The sequence below is a fragment of the Homo sapiens genome, chromosome 10 (assembly GCF_000001405.40).
Source record: "Homo sapiens chromosome 10, GRCh38.p14 Primary Assembly".
Classification (NCBI taxonomy): domain Eukaryota; kingdom Metazoa; phylum Chordata; class Mammalia; order Primates; family Hominidae; genus Homo; species Homo sapiens.
The window spans coordinates 109,563,852-109,578,838 of NC_000010.11; the positions used below are offsets into that span (position 1 = coordinate 109,563,852).

The 14,987-nt window shown below is 42.1% G+C and overlaps 1 annotated feature.

The window, feature by feature from the left end:
* Positions 3,896-4,397: an enhancer, noted in NCBI's record as "NANOG hESC enhancer chr10:111327505-111328006 (GRCh37/hg19 assembly coordinates)". NCBI's record gives its function as "activates a minimal SCP1, AML or CMV promoter by ChIP-STARR-seq in primed H9 embryonic stem cells {active_cell/tissue: H9 hESC(primed)}" and the evidence as "EXISTENCE:reporter gene assay evidence [ECO:0000049][PMID:30033119]".

Consider the following 14,987-nt stretch of genomic DNA (forward strand, 5'->3'; position numbering starts at 1 on the left):
TCCCTAGTCTCTGTTCCCAATGTGACTCTTCCCAAATCCTCCTTCTTTCCCTCCCATCTGTCCTCCCAGTCCCAACCCCAAGCGTTGCTGAGTCTTTCTAATCTTCCTTTTCTACAGACCCATCTGACTTTCCCCCTTCTCCCCAGGCTGCTCCTCGCCAGGCCAAGCCAGGTCCCAATTCTTCCTCAGCCTCTGCTCCCCCCACCCTATAATCCTTTTATCACCTCCCCTCCTCACACCCTGTCCAGCTTACAGTCTCATTCCACAGCTAGCCCTCCCCCACCTGCCCAGCAATTTCCTCTTAAAAAGGTGGCTGGAGCTAGTGGCATAGTCAAGGTTAATGCTCCTTTTTCTTTATCTGACCTCTCCCAAAATCAGTTAGCATTTAGGCTCTTTTTCATCAAACATGAAAAGTCCAGCCCAGTTCATGGCCTGCTTAGCAGCAACCCTGAGACGTTTTACAGCCCTAGACCCTGAAAGGTCAAAAGGCCAACTTATTCTCAATATACATTTTATTTTATTACCCACTCTGCTCCAGACATTAAATAAAGCTCCAAAAATTAAATTCCAGCCCTCAAACCCCACTACAGGACTTAATTAACCTCACCTTCAAGGTGCACAATAATAGAGTAGAGGCAGCCAAGTAGCAACATACTTCTGAGTTGCAATTCCTTGCCTCCACTGTGAGACAAACCCCAGCCACATCTCCAACACACAAGAACTTCCAAATGCCTAAACCGCAGTGGCCAGGCATTCCTCCAGGCCTGTCTCCCCCAGGAGCTTGCTACAAGTGCCAGAAATCTGGCCACCAGGCCAAGGAATGCCTGCAGCCCAGGATTCCTCCTAAGCTGTGTCCCATCTGTGCAGGACCCCACTGGAAATCAGACTGTCCAATTCACCCAGCAGCCACTCCCAGAGCCCCTGGAACTCTGGCCCAAGGCTCTCTGACTCCTTCCCAGATCTTCTTGGCTTAGCGGCTGGAGACTGACGCTGCCTAATCACCTCAGAAGCTTCCTGGACCATCACAGATGCTTTAAGTAACTCTCACAGTGGAAGGTAAGTCCATCCCCTTCTTAATCAATACGGAGGCTACACACTCCACATTACCTTCTTTTCAAAGGCCTGTTTCCTTTGCCTCCATAACTGTTGTGGATATTGATGGCCTGGCTTCTAAACCTCTTAAAACTCCCCAACTCTGGTGCCAACTTAGACAATACTCTTTTAAGCACTCCTTTTAGTTATCCCCACCTGCCCAGTTCCCTTATTAGGCCGAGATATTTTAACTAAATTATCTGCTTCCCTAACTATTCCTGGGCTACAGCCACACCTCATTGCCACCTTTTCCCCCAGTTCAAAGCCTCCTTCACATCCTCCCCTTGTGTCTCCCCACCTTAAACCACAAGTATAGGACACCTCTACTCCCTCCTTGGTGACCGATCATCCACCCCTTACCATCTCATTAAAACCTAATCACCCTTACCCCGCTCAACGCCAATATCCCATCCTGCAGCACACTTTAAAAGGATTAAAGCCTGTTATCACTCGCCTGCTACAGCATGGCCTTTTAAAGCCTATAAACTCTCCTTACAATTCCCCCATTTTACCTGTCCTAAAACCAGACAAGCCTTACAGGTTAGTTCAGGATCTGTGCCTTATCAACCAAATTGTTTTGTCTATCCACCCCATGGTGCCAAACCCATATACTCTCCTATCCTCAATAACTCCCTCTACAACCCATTATTCTGCTCTGGATCTCAAACATGCTTTCTTTACTATTCCTTTGCACCCTTCATCCCAGCCTCTCTTCGCTTTCACTTGGACTAACCCTGACACCCATTGGGCTCAGCAAATTACCTGGGCTGTACTGCCGCAAGGCTTCACAGACAGCCCCCATTACTTCAGTCAAGCCCAAATTTCTTGCTCATCTGTTACATATCTCGGCATAATTCTCATAAAAACACACGTGCTCTCCCTGCCAATCATGTCCGACTGATCTCTCAAACCCCAACACCTTCCACAAAACAATAACTCCTTTCCTTCCTAGGCATGGTTGGATACTTTTGACTTTAAATACCTGGTTTTGCCATCCTAACAAAACCATTATATAAACTCACAAAAGGAAACCTAGCTGACCCCATAGATCCTAAATCCTTTCCCCACTCCTCTTTCCGTTCCTTGAAGACAGCTTTAGAGACTGCCCCCACCCTAGCTCTCCCTGACTCATCCCAACCCTTTTCATTACCCATAGGCAAAGTGCAGGGCTATGCAGTCAGAATTCTTACACAAGAACCGAGACCATGCCCTGTAGCCTTTTTATCCAAACAATTTGACCTTACTGTTTTGCCTAGCCCTCAAGTCTGCATGTGGCGGCCGCTGCTGCCCTAATACTTTTAGAGGCCCTTAAAATCACAAACTATGCTCAACTCGCTCTTTACAGTTCTCATAACTTCCAAAATCTATTTTCTTCCTCACACCTGACACATATACTTTCTGCTCCCCGGCTCCTTCAGCTATACTCACTCTTTGCTGAGTCTCCCACAATTACCATTGTTCCTGGCCCAGACTTCAATCCAGCCTCCCACATTATTCCTGATACCACACCTGACTCCCATGGCTATATCTCTCTGATCCACCTGACATTCACCCCATTTCCCCATGTTTCCTTCTTTCCACACCCTGATCACACTTGGTTTATTGATGGCACTTCCACCAGGCCTAATTGCCACACACCAGCAAAGGCAGGCTATGCTGTAGTACAAGCCACTAGCCCACCTCTTAGAACTTCTCATTTCCTTTCCATCGTAGAAATCTATCCTCAAGGAAATAACTTCTCAGTGTTCCATCTGCTATTCTACTACTCCTCAGGGATTATTCAGGCCCCTTCCCTTCCCTACACATCAAGCTCGTGGATTTGCCCCCACCCAGGACTGGCAAATTGGCTTTACTCAACTTGCCCCGAGTCAGGAAACTAAAATACCTCTTGGTCTGGGTAGACACTTTCACTGGATAGGTAGAGGCCTTTCCCACAGGGTCTAAGAAGGCCACCATGGTCATTTCTTCCCTTCTGTCAGATATAATTCCTCAGTTTGGCCTTCCCACCTCTATACAGTCCTATAACAGACTGGCCTTTATTAGTCAAATCACCCAAGCAGTTTGTCAGGCTCTTAGTATTCAGTGAACTAATGGTCTTTTAAAAACACAGCTCACCAAGCTCAGCCACCAACTTAAAAAAAGGACTGGACAATACTTTTACCACTTGCGCTTCTCAGAATTCGGGCCTGTCCTTGGAATGCTACAGGGTACAGTCCATTTGAGCTCCTGTATAGACGCTCCTTTTTATTAGGCCCCAGTCTCATTCCAGACACCAGAGCAACCTGGACTGCGCCACCCCCTCACCCAAAAAAAAAAAAAACTTGTCATCCCTACTATCTTCTATCTGGTCATACTCCTATTCACTATTCTCAACTACTCATAAATGCCCTGCTCTTGTTTACACTGCCGGTTTACACTATTTCTCCAAGCCATCACAGCTGATATTTCCTGTTGCTATCCCCAAACTGCCACTCTTAACTCCCTCTTAAAGTAAATAAATAATCTTTGCTGTCAGGGCTATGCTGAACCTCCTTAGGCACTCTCTAGTTAGATGCCCTGGGTCCTCCCAATTCTTAGTCCTTTAATACCTGCTTTTCGTCTTGTCTTATTCCGTTCTTTTTTCAATTCGTACAAAACCATATCCAGGCCATCACCAATAATTCTATATGACAAATGTTTCTTCTAACAACCCCACAATATCACCCGTTACCACAAAATCTTCCTTCAGCTTAATCTCTCCCGCTGTAAGTTCCCACGCCGCCCCTAATCCCGCTCGAAGCAGCCCTGAGAAACATCGCCCATTATCTCTCCATACCACCCCCAAAAATTTTCCCCGCCCCAACATTTGAACATTATTGTTTTATTTTTCTTATTAATATAAGAAGACAGGAATGTCAGGCCTCTGAGCCCAAGCTAAGCCATCTTATCCCCTGTGACCTGCACGTATACATCCAGATGGCCTGAAGTAACTGAAGAATAACAAAAGTGATATTTAAATGGCCTGTTCCTGCCTTAACTGATGACATTCCACCACAGAAGAAGTGAAAATGGCCAGTCCTTGCCTTAAGTGATGACATTACCTTGTGAAATTCCTTCTCCTGACTCATCCTGGCTCAAAAACTCCCCCACTGAGCACATTGTGACCCCCACTCCTGCCCACCAGAGAACAACTCCCCTTTGACTGTAATTTTCCTTTACCTACCCAAATCTTATAAAACGGCCCCACCCCTGTCTTCCTTCTCTGACTCTCTTTTAGGACTCAGCCCACCTGCACCCAGGTGAAATAAACAGCCCTGTTGCTCACAAAAAAAAAAAAAAGAAAGAAAGATAAGGTCTCACTATGTTGCCCAGGCTGTTCTTGAACTCCTGATCCCAAGTGGTCCTCCTACATCAACCTCCCAAAGTGCTGGGGATTACAGGCGTGAGCCACTGCAGCCAGCCCTGACTTCGGTATCTTTTTGATACCAAAATTCTATTCCAGAAAATTATACTTCAGGGAGGATTAGATTCTGTCATTTTCATAATACATCAAAGTCAGAAATGAACTTATCTTAATCACTTTATGGGATATACATGATAGACCTTTGATGACTGGGGCTCTGATTATCATCAAAGATTGAACCTACAGAGCTCAAGCAGGGGTGCCTCATCAAGGCAGGGATATAGATTGGTGAGATTAATTTTAAAGAATCAGTGGAGCCAGAACACGCAAAGTAACTGTTTAATAATTATTTGAGTGCATGAAAGAATGGAAAGAAAAACAAAGAACAAAATTGGTGGTCCCCATGGTCAGGATTCATACTCCTGGCCTATGATTCTAGAATAGAGCAATCATTTTATATGAAGATTTTAATATATGAACTCATTCTATTTTGGGGATCGTATTCTGGTTTACCACCTATCTTAGGTGACAGAATTTAGTTTTGGTGAAATAATGTCAGGGATCATCCACTTTAGTTCCCATATTTTATAGAGGAAAAAATTGAGGCTCATAGAGTAAGGTTATAACCATAATTAAAGGCAGAGATAGGGTTAGACTTAAAGTTTCCTAAGATTCTCTTCAGCACGTAGTCTGATTTTCCATTAGTATAAATCCAGAGATCAGGATCAAGAACATTTTAGTTTACTGACTTCTCTTTCAATTATATTTGTACCATGTATTAACTTATTTATTTTTAAAGTATTTATTGAACATCTACTGTATGCCAAGTTCTGTGCCAGGCACTGGAAATACAGCATTAAATGAGGCAGCTATTGGCTTTGCACCCATAGGCCTTAGAGTCTAATGTAAGGTGAGCACTAAATAAGTAATTACAAATCAAAAGTCTTCTTTGAAAAGGGGAGTTTTTCAGGTCAGGCATTACTTCTGCTTTCTAAACAAGAAAACCGAATGGCCCAAGAGGCTCTTATACAGATGTAGGAGCAAGAATCTGGAACTTTGACTCTCAATTCAAGACTCTTACCATTTCATAATTATCTTTACAGTATGTAAAGAACCTTATTTCTTTATTTCTAATGTATACACTATGATGAAATCTTTTGTTTGCATGCAAAATATTCATCTTTATTTCTCATGATAGCAACAAGAATTGCCTTTCCAAAGTCAGCTTTCCACTTTTCTTATCTGGCATGTGTGTGTGTGTGTGCACGTATGCATGTGTGTGCGTGTACGCATGTGTGTGCATGTGTATACTTGGGGGAAGCATAAACTCCATCTGGCCAGAGTGTTTGGTTCAGAAGTGAGCACTCAGTCCCTGCTGGTCCATCTAAAGCTGCTGTGAAGGGGAAATTTTCTCCTGTTGGATGTGAAGTGAGAAGACTGGAAGACTGGAGCTGTGGGGCCATCACAGGGAAGAGCCTGCCTGAGAGTGAAGCCAACACTCAGGAAAGCGGAGTCAACAGGTCCTCTAAAGGCAGCAATACATAGATCTTGAAATGTTCACTTATGGAAGTGAATAAATATCCATTTTTTGTTTAAACCATATTGGCTTGTGTTTTCTGATCCTTCCAGCAGAAAGAATCCCTACCGATACCCCAACTATACAACCAGGTATTTATCAGACGCATTTTATTACGTCCAGACTCCAGATTAAGCAACCCTGGTTTACATAGTTTGTAATTCAGGGAGATTTGCTGGGCTTGGTTTTTCCAGCACAAGTAATTAATGTGACTCCCACAAGGATAATCCAGTGTAACTGCCTGAGGGGTACGGAAAGATTTTTGGATCACGAATACTAGTCCTTCTCTCTTTCTTGGGTTTTTCATCAATCACTTCCAATAATTAGATGAAGGTTTGCCAGGTTTGAAGTGCATCAAAATCACCCAGGTGCTGTGATGTGCTTGGACCACACTTTGAGGACACTGATATGGGAGCAAATGAATTTGATCACTTCCTCCCTGCATAACGGCAAAGCCACTGTTGGAATTTAGTGTATGCAACTGACAAAATAAACTTCAGGCTCAACAGAGTAGCTTCTGATTTTCAAATTCCTCGGTGCAAATAAGGATTTATGAAGCTGAATTTGGACTGTCACTACATCTGTTACTGGGTTTGAAAACTGAAAAGGTATAGAAAGTTCTCTGCCACCTTGAGAGCAAGAGGAAAGGTCTTTGTCTGGTATGAGAGCTCACCTTATGGGGACAAGACCCTCTGTCCTCCATGAGGCTAAAGAGAAGGTAGCTGAGAGGACAGATACTGAGGGGGCTTTGAACCAGAGCTTTCAAAGACGAATCGTGGCACCATATCCATTACCAATAGGCCCTCAGTAGGGCCTATTGTGAGCAACTTTCCAGAATGAAGTAAAATGGAGCTGTCCAGCTTCAGGGGAATCCAAAGGCTGTTTGAAAGTTTCCGAGAAGGTGAGAAACATGCAGGACTCCACAGAAACAGCCTTGGGAAGTTACCACTGAGAGAAGTCGCTACTGCAGTTTCTCAGTAAAAAGAATAGAAGCCACAGCTCAGAGCTTCGGACAGCAGTTGCTGACGGTCACCACAAACATTTATGAAGCATTGACCATGCACAAGGCTGTTATTAGGCATTGCAGGAGGTGGATGCCTGGAAAAGCTGGACAAACTACTATACCAGAAGATATTTTGGTCTGGAAGGAGAGAAAAGGTGGGTACCCAGAAAACAGTGAAACAAGAGTAAGCATCAACATGAGGAGAACAAATAAAGTACCACGAAAAAGCTGAGATGCAGGAGAGGGCACTCGTAACTAGAGAGCCCAGGCCTGTTTGTGGACAGGCAAGGAGAACAGAACTACAGAGAAGAGCAGTGGAAATGTCCCCTGAAATCTGACAGTGAATGGCCTCAGTTTCCAGACTGGCCACTGGGGATGCCTTGAAGACATCTAAGCAGGGAAGGTGATGGGCAAAGCCAGGTTCAGAACGGTTAATCCTGTCCTAAGGTTTCTGAGTTTCTAAGAAATGGAATGAATCTATGCCCAAGGGTTGGAAAGGACCTTCAAATGAAGACATTTCTTCCACTAAAGAATGAGGAAAACACATGTGACCTAGCACATTCCAGATCAGCTCTCAAGAATGAGATTTTAAATTTTGATTGCAGTTCTCAGAATATCCATCTGCATACCAGTATTTTTCTAAATGACAAATGATCATTCCCTGGACTCAGCAACCAATCTCTGGAGACCTTACCTCCAAAAATACATGTGTGAGATGGCACATGTCCAGGTTGTTCCCCGCAGTATCCCTTGAAATAACAAATATTGGAAATAGCCCAAATATCCAATAGCAAATTGATGGAATCTATTATTGTATATACCTACAATGAAACATTATGTCCCTATAAAACAGAATGAGAAATCTTTCCATGTTCTTAAAAATTGAGATGCTGCCAACCGGAGGGTATGGGGAAGTTTTGCAGAACAGTGTGCTTCCTTCTATGTAAAGAAAGAAAAAAGAAGCATATCTATGCGTATTTTGTTGCATGTTTAAAAACCAGGCAGGGAGGAAATTGGGAAGATGTTGGTCAAAACATAAAAACTTTCTGTTAGATAGTGGAAATAAGTTTAAGAGATCTATTGCACAACATGATGACACAGTTAATAACACTATATTGTATTCTTGAAAATTACTAAAAGAGTATATTTAAAGTGTTCTTTCCACAAAAAACATAGTATGTGAGGTCACGTATATGTTAATTAGCTCAAGTTAGCCATCCCACAATGTATACGCATTTCAAAACATTGTGCTATACATGAGAAATATGTTTTTTGTCAATTAAGATTGTTTAATTTTTTTTTTATTATTATACTTTAAGATTTAGGGTACATGTGCACATTGTGCAGGTTAGTTACATACGTATACATGTGCCGTGCTGGTGTGCTGCACCCACTAACTCGTCATCTAGCATTAGGTATATCTCCCAATGCTATCCCCCTCCCCCCACCCCAAAACAGTCCCCAGAGTGTGATGTTCCCCTTCCTGTGTCCATGTGATCTCATTGTTCAGTTCCCACCTATGAGTGAGAACATGCGGTGTTTGGTTTTTTGTTCTTGCCATAGTTTACTGAGAATGATGGTTTCCAATTTCATCCATGTCCCTACAAAGGACATGAACTCATCATTTTTTATGGCTGCATAGTATTCCATGGTGTATATGTGCCACATTTTCTTAATCCAGTCTATCATTGTTGGACATTTGGGATTGTTTAATTTTTTAATGTAAACAAAAAGCCAGAGAGATACATAGAAAACTACTTAAAAATGGTTGCTATCTAAGGGAGAAGGATGTAAACTTGAAGGAGGAGAGATAGGAGTGGGAATGAATCTTTTTATTCTAATCCTCAACTACATTTGAAATATGTGAAGGCATTATATAGTCAACATATTAAGTGTTTGATCAAATGCCAGTGAGCAGAACACATCTGATATCAGACAAAGCTGATACCAAAGATACCCATGGAGGTATAAGTTCTCTTGCAGCAGAACTCATACCTCCACGGAGGCCTTGGGAGTTATCAGCTGCAATGTGCCCAGTTAGCAAGACACCATCACCATGACGACCCATTTCCTATACCCAGTCCTCCTGGCAGAAGAGAGCAGATAATCCAGCACTGGCCAGTTCCCAGAGCCCTGTGGGTACCTGTGTGCAGAGTCAAAGGCTTCTACTTTCCAGCAAACATCCCATTTTACAAATCTTACCTGACACAAGGGTGACGACTTTCATTAGTGTCATCATCAGCAATTCAGGAGTTGCCTCCTTGTTCACCCTTGTAGATATCACCAATACCTGTCTTTTTTGCCACTCAACTTTTTCACTGTGGAGGTGTGTGTGTATGGGTGTGTGTGTGCGTGCATCCATGCGTGTGTGTTTGTGTATGCACATGTTCTTGGCTGTGGAAGAAAGTAGACCATAATGGCTAAAAAACAGAGGATTTAGGCCAGGTGCAGTGTCTCAGGCCTGTAATCCCAGCATTTTGAGAGGCTGAGGCAGGAGGATTGCCTGAGACTACGTGATCATTACCAGCCTGGGAAACATAGCAAAATCTCATCTCTACAAAAAATTAAAACAAAAAATACAGGATTTAGTAGGACAAATATAGCTTCAGAACCCAATCTGGCACGTAGCAGCATGGCCTTGAAAATGTTACTTCACTTACATAGCCCAGTTTCCTCACCCAGAAAATGAAGTTGTTTTATAAAATAAAAGATAAAATATTTTTAAAGCATTAGCTCTGTTTCTGGCACATAGAAAGAACTCAAAAAAGTTGTTACTGTTGATGATGATGATGACCTTCATCTCCTGGGTGTGAAACTTCTGATATAGAATAACCTGGAAGCTTTTGATAGAAAACATATTGAACAACATTTACCAGCTTGTTTACATCAGTTGCATTAAAGACCCATGGAATCTCCTTCAAGAGTTCCATGGAAACTTCTTTCATTTCCTTGAAATAATCTATCTGAAACCAAGAGGTGCTAGCTTCTTCATGTATTTCTGTCCCTAATTCTAACCATGTATTTGTTTATATTTGTAGCCAGAGTGGCTGGCAGTCATTTAAGCTACATCAGGCTCCTTTGTTGTAACCTCCTCCTCTAATTAAGGCCTGTAATTGCCCAGCAAGGACAAATTGGTTCAGCTTCTGCTGGGAGTACAGCCACAAGACAGACTCAGCATCTTCCTATCTTTATAGTCTTTAAACAGGTTCACAGCACATGCCCCACAAAAAACAAAAGCAGGTGCCACTGCTGCTCACATGGCCTCGGGACTGGCTCCTGGAAGGAAGCTGCTGCTCTGTTCGGGTTCACAAGGACAGATTTCTGTAGGAAAGCAGTGACTGTTCAGGGCATTCCCTCTCTTTACCTGTCTTCCTGCTTTCCTTTGTTTCCCAGTAATAATAAATAATTTTCCTAATAAACCTAAAAGTACTTACTACTAATATGTCCATTTTAAAAGCTTAGTCTTTATTTTAAAGAGGAGACAACTTCGTCTGGAAGACATTAAGGGACGTATCCAACAATGATTCAGATAATGGTGAACTGGGTTGCAAAACAGGTTTGTCTGACTCTGGAGCCTGTGTTCTGAGCTACCTCATGTTATTACCTCCCATTTCGAAGGTGCTTGATAGGTTAATTGCCTTATACAGTTTGAGAGGGACACATCATTGGACATTCTCCCTCTTTCCCATTTCACTGACAAACAGAAAAACCTCACTGCTTGGGCTGATTGGAATGGGAATGTTGGAGAAGAGGCTTATTAATGGCCCAGGGTTATTCTCAGGTTTCAGTAATGCAGGGGTCATCCAACTCAAAACCATCGTATGCTATAATAACCACCCCTTTCCAGGGTATTATTCAGTATTCAAAGTAGAGTTCAGAGGTAAAGAGTGTTTGACAGAAAATCAGCATGGCATCCGCACAGGAAAAAAGAAGAATCTTCACTTGCCCTAATTCTAATACATCTTCTAGTGAACCTAATTTGTACTCAAGGCTTCCCTATTGACTATGTAAATGGGATTAATGACATGATACCAGTAGAGAACAAAAAGTACTTAAGGAACTGCTTTGGCCAGATGATACATTATTAGTAGTAATAAGGGGCGGAATTACTTGGTATTTATATGGCCCTTTATGTGCAGAGATTATCTGATGGCTTTCTTGTGCACATATTGTAACTCTAATGGTCATTTTGTGCTCTCCTGTTTGTCATTCTTGTATGTATTTGCAACATTTACACATTTGTGATACAAAGTAAAATTAACACTCCTGAAAGCCTGCAGCTGCCTGCCCTGTGTAGTTTGGTCCATCCTTTATTCATAGAACACTTGCCGCCCCTCTGCTGAAAATCCTAAATCCAAGTCTTTTTGACCATGAAAGGCCTCTGCAGCCTGTTTGGGGTTATAACCCACAGGATCAGTAGTCTGCTGGTAGGGAAGAGTTTAATGATGCTCTGGTGTTGTTTGGCTCCCTTAGGAACCTTCCACTTGGGGCAGTTTCTCTGTTTCTAGCTGCAAATTCTCTTCTAGGTTTTATTTCCACAGTCATTCAATGCCTCTAAATTGGGTTAGTCTGAAGATGACTGAGATTTATTTAACCAAATCTTGACTGCAGGTTTATCTGGGATAATGCAGAATAAATTCAGATTTGCTGTAAATAATATTGTTCCACCACTCTCCATTGTAAATCCCTTTCTGACACCTCTATTTCTGTTTTGTGAGTTGCATGGTGATGACTATAATCAAAAGAGAATTTATTGAGTATTTAGATGGGAAGCACTTAGCTAAGTACTTCACTTGCATATTCACTTTACTCCTCACAAGAACCCTAGGAGGTAGGTATTATTATTATTATTCCCATTTTACAGAGGCAGGAGCTGAGGCCCACCTCACACAGCTGACCAGTGCTGCACCTGATATTCACATCCACGCCAGCCAACTGTACACCATGCGCTTGTAGCCATTGTGCAGCTTTCATTTGCTTCAGATTTCTGAAGAGTTGTGAGCTGAGAGAATTTTGTGCAGGTTTTTGAAAACAACTGTCCACAGTTTAGTTTCATATATGGTCTACTTAGGAAACCTCTGTGATCTCAAATGGCTTTGACCCTGAAGGCTAAAAGTGAGGGAATTACTCTCAGCCCTCATGCTCCTCTGTCTTTCTTTTCTTTTTTTCTTTATACATATTTTTACTCCTCTCATGTAGGAAGGTGACCTAAGATACTGACTCACACTGGGTCTTGGTCACATAATGTGATTCCTCTGTCAAGTGACACTAAAATAGATAATTGTGTGTGAGGATTTAAGGTAAACGAATGTTTCTTAGATGGTAGCATTTTAAATCAAAGCAAGAACAGTTAACAGGTGTCACATTCTTCCTCAGTTCCAGGCACCACACTAAGTTCTCCCCATCCTATCCCATTCAAACCTCACACAACCTTACACAACAGATCATTGATCCCATTTTAGTAAGAGAAATGGTAAGTGATTGGCCTCATGTGTCACAGCAGGTAAATAAAGGAAGTAGGTTCAAACTCTGGTCTGTTTCTTCCTAAAACTCTACCTAACCTTTGTGGTCCACCTGACGGAAGGCTCTGCTGTAGGTGAGAAAGCCTCCTCTGTGACAGGCAGCCAGAGGCTCTGACCACTCCACCTGCACACAAACTGCCCCTGACAAGGAATTAGCTGGGATCTTCCTTCACTCCTAGGGTGATGATGTTTCCTTTCCATCTGTGGTGGGAAATTTCCTGGTGGCCATGGGTGAAAATGAGGGTGATTCCTGAACTCTGGCTGTGGCTGAGGGATCAACCCAGCAAAGCCTCAGATCCAGCTCTCCTTTGGACAGAATTAACCTTCTTTCATTTTCCATGCTCAGTAGGAGAGGAGCAAGGATCCTACATGAGGAAGAAAGGAGGACCCACTTATTGAGGACCCACAGGGTATACATTATATGCCAGGCCCTTTTAGGTTTATCTCAAGGACCATTCATTCCTTTTTTTAATTTAACAGAGATCTATAGACTAAGTGCTATTTGGGGAAAGCATATGATTGGAAAAGAAACCACAGAGAATTCATTTGGCTTGGCCTTTTGACTTTTGCATCATCTTCACCAGATAGAGCATTAGATCAAAGCCTGCATGATGAATAGTTTTATGTGTCAACTTGGCTGACTTATAGAACCCAGTTACTTAATCAAACACTACTCAGTGTTGTTCTGTTATTTTTTAGATGTGATTAACATCTACAATCAGTTTATTTTAAGTAAAGAAGATTACCCTCAATAATATATGTGGGCCTCATCCAACCAGTTGAAGGCCTTAAAAAGAAAAGCCGAGGTTTACCAGAGAAGTGATTCTGCTTCAAGACTGCAACATTAACCCCTGCCTGGGTTTTAAGCCTGCCAGCCTGCCTTACAGGTTTCAGATTTGCCAGTTCCCACCATCACAGGAGCCAATTTCTTGAAAATCTACCTATCTATCTATCTATCTATCTATCTATCTATCTATCTATCTATCTTTCAAATCTATAGTGTCATCTGTTTCAGCCTGAGACTTTAAAAACTCTGGAAAGTATACGAATGGGAGCTGCCAACTCTGGGAACAACGCTGTTGCCTCTGTTTTCTCTTGGATGGTATTCTTTCATTCTTAGCATTCCCCAAAGGTCTCTTTAGATGTCACTGGCACCTGACTCAGGGGATGAGAGACCACATGGTTCTGAGTTCTTTCATTTCTAACTCTATTGAAAGTTTAGAAAAGAAACTGCGGATGAGCAGTTGAGTCACAATGACCTGCAGTTCTGTGTCACCCAAATAATATGGGACCTTCAAAAGGAGAGGTGATGGCCCACAATGAATGTCTCCATTCCACTTCTAATGAAGATGTGGTGCCCATCATCACTTTGCTGTCTTCCATGCCAAACACCAATTGGAAAGGTCTATGACATTTTTCAAGGACTTAGACTGCTACCATTTGTAGCATTGAGTCAAATTTAACTGGTTTCTCTCTGGCAATTTTAAAGTCCATCAGGTCCTGGGGAGAGATCATCCAAAAGGCCTGAAGATGAGATGATTTGCCTCTCTTCAAAGACAAAATAGTGAAAAAATTCAGCAGATGATTGTTTAGCAGGTTAAAGCTCATAAATCTGTCGGCAAAATTTACTGTCCATGTACATGAAATTAAGCAAGGCTTTTTTCCCCCCTTACCTCCAATGTAATTTTGAATTACGTACTCTATATTATAGATAAATCAGCTGCTTGTTGGCTGGTAGCCAAGCTTTTGGAAGACAGAAGGTGGTTTTATTTTTATTTCAACCTACTTCTGATTCACAGATTAGGGTGACATATAGTAAGGCATCAGAGTTTTTAAGATAATCTGTAATCAAGCAGTCAAACTACTTTCAATTATGCCCAATGAGATATAATTGGTGATATTGACAACCCTTGGATTGCATTGATTTTCTTATCCAAGCTGAAAATCTTGGTAACACTTCTCATAGCACAACTCTATTAATTACAGAAAATTCTTACTTCCCTTCTGTTTCTCAAACGTTATACTTTTGCTGTGGCTTTGCCATTACCCAAAGCATCTTAGGATGCTCCCCAAGGAAAATGGTCTCTCCTGACCCTTATAATAACCTACAGAGATGAGACCTTTTTTCAGGTGGAGTGATGCTGGATGAGAGAATGTTTGTAGGAGTGAATCCATGTGTGCTAAGAAGCGCAAGATGCTTGTTTATCTCAAATCATCAGACAGGAATAGCTAAGTTGGTGACAACCATGAATGCCTTTTTTGATTACACTAGACTTGGAAACCAAATGATGTTCCCCGAGATGCTGCAAATTGGTATTTAAACATTATAGTGGGGACATAGAGGAAGGCATAATGTAATCAGAATACTACAGTGGGGAAAGTTATGCTACAGCAGGTCTGGTGGTGCTTCAA